The 13,531-nt window shown below is 45.8% G+C and overlaps 1 protein-coding gene across 33 annotated transcripts in view, besides 3 other annotated features; it reads right to left on the minus strand.

The window, feature by feature from the left end:
* Positions 1 to 13,531, minus strand: part of GNB1 (G protein subunit beta 1) — a 105,802-nt gene that overhangs the window by 59,297 nt on the left and 32,974 nt on the right. For 6 of the 33 annotated variants that reach the window (XM_047418073.1, XM_047418070.1, XM_047418049.1 and 3 more), the window contains one exon: positions 8,570 to 8,715. The exons of 13 other annotated variants lie outside the window; for them this stretch is intronic. The gene's annotated coding sequence lies outside the window, so the exon portion shown is untranslated. Of the gene's footprint in view, positions 1 to 3,295; positions 3,948 to 7,987; positions 8,099 to 8,569; positions 8,716 to 13,531 lie in introns of all 33 variants that reach the window. 14 more of the 33 variants (XM_047418054.1, XM_047418046.1, XM_047418058.1 and 11 more) reach the window with 8 other exon arrangements.
* Positions 3,208 to 3,447: an enhancer, noted in NCBI's record as "active region_41". NCBI's record gives its function as "activates an Ori minimal core promoter by ATAC-STARR-seq in GM12878 lymphoblastoid cells {active_cell/tissue: GM12878}" and the evidence as "EXISTENCE:reporter gene assay evidence [ECO:0000049][PMID:35858748]".
* Positions 6,514 to 7,014: an enhancer, noted in NCBI's record as "H3K4me1 hESC enhancer chr1:1782535-1783035 (GRCh37/hg19 assembly coordinates)". NCBI's record gives its function as "activates a minimal SCP1, AML or CMV promoter by ChIP-STARR-seq in naive H9 embryonic stem cells {active_cell/tissue: H9 hESC(naive)}" and the evidence as "EXISTENCE:reporter gene assay evidence [ECO:0000049][PMID:30033119]".
* Positions 7,189 to 8,001: an enhancer, noted in NCBI's record as "H3K27ac-H3K4me1 hESC enhancer chr1:1783210-1784022 (GRCh37/hg19 assembly coordinates)". NCBI's record gives its function as "activates a minimal SCP1, AML or CMV promoter by ChIP-STARR-seq in naive H9 embryonic stem cells {active_cell/tissue: H9 hESC(naive)}" and the evidence as "EXISTENCE:reporter gene assay evidence [ECO:0000049][PMID:30033119]".

The following is a 13,531-nucleotide window of genomic DNA, read 5'->3' on the forward strand; positions in this document are numbered from 1 at the left end:
CTACAAGCTGCATTAATATTTCTAATCAAGTACAGGTATACTTGTGGGGGATGATTTCTTCTCTATCAACATAATCCTAAGATGGGAAACACATAAGTGCACCACTGGTTATCTACAATTCTGAGATACCCAAACCAGAATAGGACACACGGCATTAGGCAGACTTTCTCACATTCAGGGTGAGCAGTCTTATGTTTACTACAAACTTTGGGGTATCTGATTAAAGCCTTGCCGTAAGTGTGGTGCACATGTAACATACTCACTGCATCTTTCTCAACCCTGAAAAAGTCTATATTCCGGAAAACATCCAGCCCCAAGAGTTTTGCCTAAAGGCCTGGGGGCTTGTAAGAAACAAAGTAAACTCCCTTCCAAATAATTCTTTAATTCAAAAACACACTGAACAACTAGAATGTGAAATAATACTGAACTTAATGACAACTCTGTATCATAATCTTCAACTATATATGATCATACTAATAAACAGGATAAAAACAAACTAGAAATGCCTTCTTTCAAACAAAAATTAGAGTTCAGTATCAATAAAAAGATAACAATACCTGTAAAACACAACCAACCAACCAAAAAAAGGTCTAAAGACATCACGTTAATTTAGAATACTCTAACTGTACAAACGTGGGGGTACATTCTAAGGGCAAATAGAGTTCTGAAATTTAAGCGTCATATTGGTGGCATAATAATGCTTAAAGTAGGCCGGGTGCGGTGGCTCACGCCTGTAATCCCAGCACTTTGGGAGGCCAAGGCGGGCGGATCACGAGGTCAGGAGATTGAGACCATCCTAGCTAACTCAGTGAAACCCCGTCTCTACTAAAAATACAAAAAATTAGCCAGGTGGGATGGCGGGCGCCTGTAGTCCCAGCTACTCAGGAGGCTGAGGCAGGAGAATGGCGTGAACCCAGGAGGCGGAGCTTGCAGTGAGCCGAGATCGTGCCACTGCACTCCAGCCTGGGTGACAGTGCGAGACTCCGTCTCAAAAAAAATAATAATAAAATAAAATAAAAATAATAATAATAATGCTTAAAATATTAATATGGATATGTATGCCAGAGCGAAATAAGCGAAGATATGGTTATTTGGGGAGCAAGGCTCACACTGGAGAAGGGAGGCACAACACGGACTATCTGAAAGCAAGGAATGGCCCCCTGGGGTTCAATCTGAATTTGGAGACAATGGAAATTCTCTATACATTTATTCCGCTGTAGAATCATTTGTGTGTAAGTCCATACACACACACACACACACACACACACACACACACACACACACACACACGTATATCTCCTATCTCTTGTCAACTGAAAGGTCTGGAAGCAACGACCTCTCCACACACAAAGCCCAAATCTTGGTTTTATAAAAACGGTTCCCTTTAAAAGGAGCTTCAGGGTTCCTCTGAGAAATCACTCCCTCAAGGTCTGGCACAGGAACCCTCTTGCTATGGCAGAAAGGAAGGGCTCCAAAACTAAAAAGAACATGTCAAAAACACACCAGCTTGAAGGAAGTCTGCTGGCCAAATTTAGGACAATCTGAGGGTCAACATGACGAACAATGGTAATGGAATATACCTTACTGGATCTAAAAAAAGAACACACAAGCACATGGTAACATATAAATTAAAAAAAAAAAGAGGAAAAGCGAAGCTCTTCTTTACAGAGGAATGCCAATACACATAGAAGGAGTAAGATTTAGCCGGGTGCAGTGGCTCATGTCTGTAATCTCAGCAGTTTGGGAGGCCAAGGCAGGCGGATCACCTAAGCTCAGGAGTTCGAAACCAGCCAGGCCAACGTGGTGAAACTCCATCTCTGCTAAAAACAAAAAAATTAGCCAGGCGTGGTGGCTGGCACCTGTAATCCCAGCTACTCGGGAGGCTGAGGCAGAAGGATCGCTTGAACCCAGGAGACGGAGGTTGCAGTGAGCAGAGATCATGCCACTGCACTCCAGGCTGTGAGACAAAGTGAGACTCCATCTCAAAATCAATCAATCAATCAATCAGAGTCTCACTGTCACCCAAGTGGGTGACAGCCTTGAACAGCTCACTGAAACCTTGAACTCCTAGGCACAGCCATCCTCTTGCCTCAGCCCCCTAAGTAGCAAGGATTCAGGCATGTGCCACACTGCACGTGACTAAATTTTTTGTTTCTTTATGGAGAGAGGGTCTCACTATGTGGCCCAGGCTGGTCTTCAACTCCTGGTCTCAAGCAATCCTCCTCCCTTGGCCTCCCAAAGTGCTCAGATTATAGGAATGAGCCACTGGTTCTAGCTGAAAGTGAAGGACTTAAAGCTAGAGAATTTAATGCCAGCAAAAGGGTGGCTTGATCAGTTTAGAAAGAGGGTTGGCTTAAAAAATGTTAAGATAACAGGAGAAGCAGTTTCTGCCAACCAAGAGGCACCAGGGTTCCCAGATGCCATGAAGAAAATCATTGAGGAAAAGAAAATCTTCCTGAATAGGTTTTTAATGCAGACAAAAGTGCCCTATTCTGGAAAAAACTGCCACAAAGGACACTTATTAGTAAGGAAGAAAAGTGAGCCCCAGCACTGAAGGCAGGCAGGGAGAGGCCAACTCTACTGCTTTGTGCAAATGCAGCCGGGTTTATGATCAGGACTGCTCTTATCTACAAAGCTGCTAACCCCTGAGCCTTGAAGGGGAAGAGATAAACACCAGTTGCCAGTCTCTTGGTTGTGGAACAAGACTGGGACAACAAAATCCCTTTTTCTGGACTGGTTCCATCGATGTTCTTTGTCTGCAGTCAGGAAGTACACTTTGCCAGTAAGGGATTGCCTTTTAAAGTTCTTTAGATATTGGACAAGGCCCCTGGCCACTCAGAACCCCATGAGTTCAATACTGACGGCAATGAAGTGGTCTACTTACCCCCAAACACAGCACCTCTCCTTCAGCCTCTAGATTAGGGGGTCATAAGGACCTTTAAGGCTCATAACACACAGTACTCTATGGAAAGAATTGTCAATGCTATGGAAGAGAATCCCAATAGACAGAACATTGTTTAAGTCTGGAAGGATTATCCTGCTGAAGATGCCAAGGTTGTTACAGAAAAAGCTGTGAAGGCCATGAGCCTGAAACAATCAACTCCTGCTGGAGAGGACGACGTCCAGATGCTGCGCCTGACCTCACAGGATTTACGAGAGCCAGACGAGGAAATCATGAAAAGACTGTGCATATGCTTTTAAAAGGGTAGGGGGGTGGGTAAGGACTTCAACATGTGGATCTTAGAGAAATTCAAGAGCTATTAGACACCACACCAGAGGAATTAACAGAACACACCTTGACAGATGTCAGTACTTCCAACGTGGTGCCAAACGATGAGAAAGAAGCAGTGCCAAAAACACGTGGACACTGGGCAATCTGGCAGAAGGTCCCCATTCCCCAAGACTGCACTTGACTTCTTTAGGACACAGAGCTTTTATGGCACAGGAACTAAAACTAAAGCATACAACAGAAGGTTGCTATCATACAGAAACTTTTTTAGAGAAATGAAAAAGCAGGCCGGGTGCGGTGGCTCAGGCCTGTACTCCCAGCACTTTGGGAGGCCAAAGCGGGCAGACCACGAGATCAGGTGTTCCAGACCACCCTGGCCAACACAGTGAAACTCTGTCTCTACTAAAAATAAAAAAAATTAGCCGGGCATGGTGGCGGGCGCCTGTAATCCCAGCTACTTGGGAGGCTGAAGCAGGAAAACCGCTTGAACCCAGGAGGCGGAGGCTGCAGTGAGCCAAGACTGAGCCATTGCACTCCAGCCCAGGCAAAAAAAAAAAAAAAAAGAAAAAGAAAAAATAAAACGAAAAAGAAAGAAGTCAGAAATTATGTATTTCAGTAAAGTTCCACCAAGTATGCCTGTCTCTCCTACCTCCCCTTCCACCACCTCCATCCAAGACAGCAAGACCAATCCCATCTCTTTCTCCTCCTCAGCCTCAACCTGAAAATGAGAAGGAAGACCTTTATGAGGGATCCACTTCCACTCATTAAATAGTAAATACATTTTTCTCTCCCTTATGATTTTCTTAATATTTTCTCTAGCTTGATCACAAAAATATATAATATATAAAACATAAAAACTGTCTTTTGACTGCTATCGGTAAGGCTTCCAGTCAATAGCAGGCTATTAGTAGTTCATGTTTTGGGAGTCAAGTGATAGAAGAATTTTGACTGCACAGCAGGTTAGCACTCCTAATCCCTGTGTTAAGGGTCACGATATTCCTTCCCTTTCACTCTTTGTAACACAACTGTCTAGCATTTTACTTCTACATGTTTTTTGAAGACTCCTTCTGGGTCTTTGTTCCCAGTTCCTCAGAAGGAGCTTCAAAAACTATTGGATGTTCCGGAGTGATAGGCATGTCTTTGTTATTCATGAGCCTCCATGTTTTTGCTGAGATGAGCTGACTCAAGATAGAGGCTGGTCACCAGAAAGACAAACCATGACATTAGACGGTTGGGGTTTGAAACCATTCTGACTGGGGTGGGAGAGGGGCTAGAGATTGTGCTCTATCAATTGTGCCCAAGTAACAAAGCCCCAATAAAAACTCTCAACACCAAGGCTCAGGGGAGCTTCCTGGTTAGAAGCTCATTGACCCCGATTTGTCAGGAGAGACTCCATGGGGAGAGGGCTTGGAGGATGTGTGCTTGAGACTCTGCTAGGCCTTGCTGTATATATCTCTTCATTTGCCTGGTCTGATTTATATTAAACTAGATATAGCACCAGAAGATAACTGCAGTGTGATGGGATACACTTCTGCCTGAAGAACTTCCTCCATCTCACAGGGCAGATCTACTGGCAACAAACCCCACAACTTTTGTCTGAGGAAGTCTTTTGTGGGACTAGGTCTCATTCTATCACCCAGGCTACAGTGCAGTGGCACAATCTTGGCTCACTGCAGCCTCAACCTCCCAGGCTCAAGCGATCCTCCCACTTCAGTCTCCTGAGTAGCTGAGACCACAGGCACCGCCAGAGCACCTGGATAATTTTTTTTTTGTAGAGATGAAGTCTCGCTATGTTGCCCAGGCTGCTCTCAAACTCCTGGGCTCAAGTGAGTCTGCCACTCAGTCTCCCAAAGTGCTGGGATTACAGGTATGACCCACCATGCCTGGCCTGTATGAAATACTTTTTTTCTGGCTACATTCAAAACTTTCTCTTTGACTTTCAGCAGTTTGACTATAATGTGCCTAGGTGTTGAGGGTTTTTTGTTTATATTTATGGTGCTTGGAGTCCTCTGAACTTCACAGACCTCTGGTTTGTTGTCTTTTACTAATGAAAAAATTCTCAACCATTAGCTCTTTGAATATTTCTTCTGCCCCGTTTTCTTCCTAGGGCTCCAATTATCTGTATATTTGACAGTTTGCTATAGTCTCACAACTACTCAACACTTTTTTTTTGTTTGAGATGGAGTCTCGCTCTGTACATAGGCTGAAGTACAATGGCACAATCTCAGCTCACTGCAATCTCCGCCTCCCAGGTTCAAGTGATTGTCCTGCCTCAGCCTGAGTAGCTGGGATTACAGGTGCCCGCCACCACACCCAGCTAATTTTTTTTTTTTTTCCAGATGGAGTTTCTCTCTTGTTGCCCAGGCTGGAGTGCAATGGCGGGATCTTGGCTCACCACAACCTCCGCCTCCCAGGTTCAAGCGATTCTCCTGCCTCAACCTCTCGAGTAGCTGGGATTCCAGGCATGTGCCATCACACCCTGCTAATTTTTTTTATTTTTAGTAGAGACGGGGTTTCTCCATGTTGGTCAGGCTGGTCTCGAACTCCCGACCTCAGGTGATCTGCCCACCTCGGCCTCCCCAAAGTGCTGGGATTACAAGGGTGAGCCACCGCGCCCAGCCTAAATGCTATTTTTGTTCTGGTTTATTTTCTTCTGCTTGTTTCATTTTGGATTTCTATTGACCTATCTTCAGTTTCACTGATTCTTTCCTATCTGCTGACAAACTCACTGAGAAAATTATTCATCTATAATGTTTTTAAAGAATCTCTAACATTTCAATTTAACTTTTTCTAGAGTTTCTGCCTCCTGAAATTCTCGATCTTTTCACATATAATGCATGCTGTATACCTTTCTCACTCAATCTTTTACCACATCCATCACAGTCATTTAAAGTCTCTGGCAGTTCCAATATCTGGGTCATCTCTAAGTTGGCTTCCATTTATTTCTCTCTTAACAAGAAATCGCTTTTTTGTGTATCTCATAATTTTTTATTGAATTATCAGATGATATTCAATAAAACCAGAATTGGGTACACCTCTTTGTCTGAGCCACTACTGTGTGGGGATGAGGGGTTAATTCAATCTAGTCTTCAGTTGGGTTTGGATTTTATAATCCTCAGGGGAAGGCTGCCTTCAACTTCGTGGCACCATGTATTTTTCTCAAAAACATACTGGCCGGCCAGGCGCGGTGGCTTACGCCTGTAATCCCAGCACTTTGGGAGGCCAAGGCGGGCGGATCACAAGGTCAGGAGTTTGAGACCAGCCTGACCAAGATGGTGAAACCCCGTCTCTACTAAAAATACAAAAATTAGCAAGGCGCCAGGCGCGGAGGCTCATGCCTGCAATTCCCAGCACTTTGGGAGGCCGAGACGTGTGGATCACCTGAGGTCGGGAGTTTGAGACCAGCCTGACCAACATGGAGAAACCATATCTCTACTAAAAATACAAAATTAGCCAGGCGTGGTGGTGCATGCCTGTAATTCCAGCTACTCGGGAGGCTGAGGCAGGAGAATCGCTTGAACCCGGGAGGCGGAGGTTGCAGTGAGCCGAGATTGCACCATTGCACTCCAGCCTGGGCAACAAGAGTAAAACTCCATCTCAAAGAAAAAAAAAAAAAAAAATTAGCAGGGCATGGTGGCACACACCTGTAATCCCAGCTACTCAGGAGGCTGAGGCAGGAGAATCGCTTGAACCTGGGATACCACTGCACTCCAGCCTGGGCGACACAGCAAGACTGTGTCTCAAAAATTAACTAATTAATTAAATTTAATTTAAAAAAATATTGGCCAAAGAGGAAACCTCACTACTCACACCTAGAGGAGGACAGAACAAATGCAGAAAAGCAAGCCATACAACTTCACATGAAGATGCAAACAGTCTTGCAGGCTACCATGAGGACAAGCCTTTACTTTATTTTGGCAGTAGACTGAATGTCTGTTAAACAGGCATTCGGCCGGGCACAGCGGCTCACGCCTATAATCCCAGCACTTTGGGAGGCTGAGGTGGGTGGATCACTTGAGGTCAGGAGTTTGAGACCAGCCTGACCAACACGGAGAAACCCCATGTCTACTAAAAATACGAAATCAGCCGGGCATGGTAGCGCATGCTTGTAATCCCAGCTACTCGGGAGGCTGAGGCAGGAGAAATGCTTGAACCCAGGAGGCAGAGATTGCGGTGAGCCAAGATAGCGCCATTGCACTCCAGCCTGGGCAACAAGAGCGAAACTCCGTCTCAAAAAAAATAAATAAAGAGACATTCACTTTACTGGAAAAAAAAAAATCAACATATTGTGGTTGAATATATAAAAAGAGATGCCAAACGTTAGGAGCCAGGCGTGGTGGCTCACGCCTGTAATACCAGGGGGCGATCACTTGAGGCCAGGAGTTTCAGACCAGCCTAGGCAACATAGCAAGATCCTGCCTCTCAAATTTTTTTTGAGACGGCATCTTGCTCTGTCGCCCAGGCTGGAATGCAGTGGCGCCATCTCGGCTCACTGCAAGCTCCGCCTCCCGGGTTCACACCATTCTCCTGCCTCAGCCTCCCAAGTAGCTGGGACTATAGACGCCCGCCACCACGCCTGGCTAATTTTTTTTGTATTTTTAGTAGAGACGGTGTTTCACGATGTTAGCCAGGATGGTCTCGATCTCCTGACCTCGCGACCCGCCCGCCTCAGTCTCCCAAAGTGCTAGGATTACAGGCTCGAGCCACGGCGCCCGGCCTCAAAATATTTTTTAAAAAAATTGGCATGGTGGTGCATACCTGTAGTCCTAGCTACTCCAGAGGCTAAGACAGGAGGACTGGTTGAGCCCAGGAGTTGAAGGCAGCAGCGAGCCACTGTATGTCAGCCTGGGCAACAGTGAGACTCTGTCTCTTAAGAAAAAAAAAAAAAAGTGAATGTCTTGTGTGCCTTGCTATGCACACAGGTTCTCAGCCCCTGAGTGGAGTGCAACTTACGGGCCTACCCTACACTCAGGAGCCAGCAACAGCCCCTCATCCTGCTCTCACCAACCCAGCTCCACATCTGCCACACCCAGTCACGCCCCCTTCTGAACCCTCAACTGGTTCTTTTGTGGTTCTTCTCTCAAGTCGAGGATCCACTCCTTATTCCCTTTCCCTGAATGTACCCCAGTTCCTAGAAAGCTCTACGCACTGCAGCGCTCTGAGGGTTCAATCCTTTCAGATTCCACCAGTGTAAAGCAAGCCTCAGCACCCCTTTCCTTTCCAAACCTGCTGGCAGTCCCTCCCAGCTCTCCTGCAGCACAGACTCAAGCCTCCCTTCCATCCCTTTCCCCTCCTGCCCCTGTGCTCCACTCCCACTGCTTCAGCCTCTTGATGGCTTACCATCTTTGCCTGGCCCGTTACTAATCTGTGTCTCTATCCCACCTCTTTTCCACTTCAATCCATCTTAACAGCACTGCCTGATTTATCTTTCTGAAGGACAGCTCTGACATGCGACTCCTCCGCTCAGAAGTCTTCAAATACTCCTCCTACGGAAAAAATCAAACTTTTTAGCCTGGCCTAATTTAAAGCTCTTACTGACTGTATTCCCAGGTACTCCTCCCCAGGGAGTCAAGTAAGCCTAGAAAGGGCCAAACACATGGGCACGAACACCCCAGACAACTTTGGTGGTCTCTGCCGAACTCTGACCACTAGTCTCTTAAAGAGAAATCCTAGAAACATGAACATATTTTTGCCTCAAAGAATGAGAGCCAATTTTTAAAGGTAAAATATCTCCCCACCAAGCAAGAAAAAAGACATGCTTCCAAAACTTAGCTTATTTCCTGCAAAACCCACAAAATATAGAAAGTACCCTGAGTTGGAAATGTTTTTATAACCCATATTCTAAATCATCTGTGATTTAGAAAGAGAACTGGAAACAGGAATAATAGAAACTATGTCTTCAGGCTATTTAGAATGACACAGTGCTCTATAAACCTCAGCTAATGTCTAGGTTTGTTAGGCGGTCACTGTGAGAAAAGCATTTTGTGAGCCTACTCTGGTGCCAGGCACCAGTTTAGGTCAGAGTAAAGTAAGCACAAATATTTACTTGGGAGTCTGAGTACATATATAGTCATATTATATAACAACATGAAAATAGGATAGAAGTGTCAATTGTTGATAAAACATTTAACAATAAAGTGGCCTCAATATCTGGGTTCGTATTTGTATGGCTTCATTCACTCACTCAACAACGACCTGCCCATCTCCAATCATGTGCCAGGCACCACAGCTCAGGGGAGTCCGTAGGAAACAAGACACAGCACTTGCTGTTCTAGAACTTGCTTGTTGGTCGAGGAAGGCATTAAGCGAACAGTGCAAGTCTTTATTTTGATACATCAACTGCTATCCATTGCTAAGGAAACATAAAACTACGTAAGAAGGGGAAACAGGTGAGATGGGGAGGTCTCTCTTAGAAGGTGGCCAGAGAAGGCCACTCTGGTGTGGAGAAATCTGAGCGGGGTCCCAAGGACAGGGTGAACAGGTATAAAGAGTCCCTGAGATTCTGACTTATTCCTACTAGTCAAGATTTCTTACCTGCTGAAACACTGACAAAGCCTGCCACTTCTACCTCTGAATGTGAGAGACAAATTAACTTTATTGTCTCCATCCTGGAATGTTCAGTCCAACTGCTATCCTTCTCTTAAATTAAACTCTGACAGTACAAAAAAGCTCAGTCATAAAAAAAAGGTAGAGGAAGGGGACCACAATGAAGCAGCAGATACACAGCAAGAGGGACTCACTACAAAACCTGTTTTAAGGAAGACAGATACATCTCCTGTTAGTCCCAGACATTCCTTCCTAAGTAAGTTTTTAAGCTGGGCGCATTGGCTCATGCCTGTAATCCCACCTACTAGCGAGGCTGAGGAAGGAGGATTGCTTAAGCCCAGGAGTTGGAGGCCAGACTGGATAATATAGTAAGACGTCATGTCTTTAAAAAATTAAAAAGTGCAGTGGCTCACACCCGTAATCCCCGCACTTTGGGAAGCCGAGGTGGATGGATCACCTGAAGCCAGGAGTTCAAGATCAGCCTGGCCAACATGGTGAAACCCCATCTCTACTAAAAATACATCCGGGCGTGGTGGCTCACGCCTGTAATCCCAGCACTTTGGGAGTCCAAGGCAGGTGGATCACGAGGTCAGGAGTTCAAGACCAGCCTGGCCAAGATGGTGAAACCCCGTCTCTACTAAAAATACAAAAATTAGCCAGGCGCAGTGGCAGTCACCTGTAATCCCAGCTACTTGGGAGGCTGAGGCAGGAGAATCGCTTGAACCCTGGAGGCAAAGGTTACAGTGGGCCGAGATAGCTCCACTGCACTCCAGCCTGGGCAACAGAGCAAGACCGTATCTCAAAAAAAAAAAAAACAGCTGAGTGTGGTGGTGGATACCTGTAATCCCAGTTACTTGGGAGGCTGAGGCAAGAGAATCACTTGAACCGGGGAGGTGGAAGCTGCAGTGAGCTGAGATCGCCCCCACTGCACTCCAGCCTGGGTGACACAGCAAGACACTGTGTCAAAAAAAAAAAAAAAGAAAAGAAAAGAAGAAAAAAGAACCCAAATTCCATCCAAGTTAACCAGCAATGACTTAAAAAGCAAGCAAAACAATAACTCCCGGCCGGGCGCGGTGGCTCACGCCTGTAATCCCAGCACTTTGGGAGGCCGAGGCGGGCGGATCACAAGGTCAGGAGATCAAGACCATCCTGGCTAACACAGTGAAACCCCATCTCTACTAAAAATACAAAAAATTAGCAGGGCGAGGTGGCAGGCGCCTGTAGTCCCAGCTACTCGGGAGGCTGAGGCGGGAGAATGGCTGGCATGAACCCCGGGGGGCGGAGCCTGCAGTGAGCCGAGATCGCGCCACTGCACTCCAGCCTGGGTGACAGCGAGACTCCGTCTCAAAAAAAAAACAAAAAAAAACTCCCATAAAAGGAAAAAACACTAAGTCACTGTTTTCCAGTGAGGAAAGTACATCAGAGTAACCTGGGGAAAGAGAGACACCTGGTGTTTGCTTCTTTGGCTATTTCAAAGAGGAGGAGGCAATAGTGTCTACAGAACTAGATGCTATGACCTTCTTAACCTAAGAGTGAAGTTGACAGCACTGATCTGGGGAAGGTGATAAGCAGGGAGCTCAGGGCAGGGCCCTCTACCTTTTCACCACTGTGTTCTCAGGACTCATGGCGTAAAGCAGCCTCCCAAATTTTTTTAATCAATGGACTTTCTTCTTCTTCTTTAAGAGATGGCGATCTTGCTCTGTGACCCAGGCTAGAGTGCAGTGGCACCATCATAGCTCACTGCAGCCTCAAATTCCTGGGCTCAAGTATCCTCCCATCTCAGTCTCCTGAGCAGCCAGGACTAAAGGCATGTGCCATCACACCTGGCTAACTTTTATATTTTCAGAGATGGGCTGGTCTCGCTACATTGCCCAGGCTGTTTTCAAACTCTCAGCCTCAAGTGATCCTCCTGCCACAACCTCCTGAATAGGGCTTTCTTTTTTTAAATTAGAGATGGGGTCTCGCTATGTTGCCCAGGCAGATCTCCAACTCCTGGGCTCAAGTGATCCTCCCACCTTGATCTCCTGAAGTGCTGGGATAACAGGCATAAGCCACTGCACTGGCCCGGAATTTCTTTCTTTCTTTTTTTGAGACAGAGTCTCGCTCTGTCGCCAGGCTGGAGTGCAGTGGCCTGATCTCAGCTCACTGCAACCTCCACCTCCTGGGTTCAGGTGATTCTCCTGCCTCAGCCTCCCGAGTAGCTGGGACTACAGGCACGCGCTACGACGCCCAGCTAACTTTTGTATTTTCAGTAGAGACAGGGTTTCACCATGTTGGCCAGGATAGTCTCCATCTCTTCACCTTGTGATCCGCCCGCCTTGGCCTCCCAAAGTGCTGGGATTACAGGCATGAGCCACTGCGCCTGGCCTAGAATTTCTTAATGTTCCTCTCTCCCCCTCCACAATCCCACCTAATGTAGCAATTAACAGTTTGGTGATATGTTGGGACAACCAAGAATGTAATTTCTGAAAACAGTTGATATTTCATTTAAAACAAAAAATATTATTAATTCAGAAGGCCCAAGAAAAAGGCTCTTGTACTGTTCACTCTTCTGAGGGAAGTATCCTACAAAACAGTAATACCGTAAAGACATTCAGGAGAGCCCAGGTATATGGAGAGCATACTCTGATTTTAATCACTTCAGGTATTTTCACCAGGTAATTAAATTCACTGTCCAATCACCTGTCTCAAAATCCTGCTGATTAATGAGAAGCCTTAATGGGAAATTTGGTATTAACTACATCTTTTAGGAAATCATTAATTCTAGAAATGGAAAATTAAAACTACTCCTGACTTCACTTTACCCCCACTTCAAAAGTCTACCCAGTCTAGCCAAGGTTCTCACTGGGAAGTGGGGAGAGGAGGAATATGAGAGGTCCCAAGGAAACTAAACTGGAAACGAGAAAGTGGAAAGAGGAACCAAGAACCCAGTCTCGGATGGCTCTTGGGGCTGGCTGGCTCCTCTCTCTCTCCTTCCAGTGTGCTTTCTCTGCTCCTCTGTGAATCTCTCTATTAACCAATCACTGTCATCTTGTACAGGGTTCAACGCAGCCTAGGATTCTAAATCACAGCAATCATCAAATGTCAGCCATGTCTCTGTCTCCAGAGTCTCCTCTGCACCAACTCACTCCCTCACTGTCTGCAGGCCAGGTGGCTGGTACACTGTGGAACTGGGGAGGATACAGCAAGTCCTGTGGGCAGCTGCCCTTGCCAAAGGGACAATGGGTGGAGTACCTGAGAAGGGAACATGGGTAGGCCAAGCAATGACGATATCTTTAACATGGGAACAAACTTCTCTACATGTGCACTTATAGCAGTACCCCCATATCTGAGAAGGACATGCTCCAAGACCCCCAGGGGATGCCAGATAAACTGTGGATAGTACCACACTTTATATAGACTACATTTTTTCCTTTATGCTGTATTTTTTCCTATACAAATGATAGGAACTTAATCCTGTAACAAAGTTTTATTTATAAATTAGGCACAGTAAGAAATTAACAATAATAACTAATAATCAAGCAGAACCACCATAACAACATACCGTAATAAAAGTTATGGGAATGTGGTCTCTCTCGTACTGTACCGTGATATTTTATGGTGCCATACCTCAAAAGACAAGGCCACGGGTACAGGGGCTACTGCAATTCTTCCCTCTGGCACTGCACTAGCTGAGGACATGCCACAAAGCAGCACACATGGATCCATAATGGAGAATCCAGAACAATTACAGTCCCCAAAACACACAAAATAAAA

Source organism: Homo sapiens, chromosome 1 (assembly GCF_000001405.40).
Source record: "Homo sapiens chromosome 1, GRCh38.p14 Primary Assembly".
In the NCBI taxonomy this organism is placed as follows: Eukaryota; Metazoa; Chordata; class Mammalia; order Primates; family Hominidae; genus Homo; species Homo sapiens.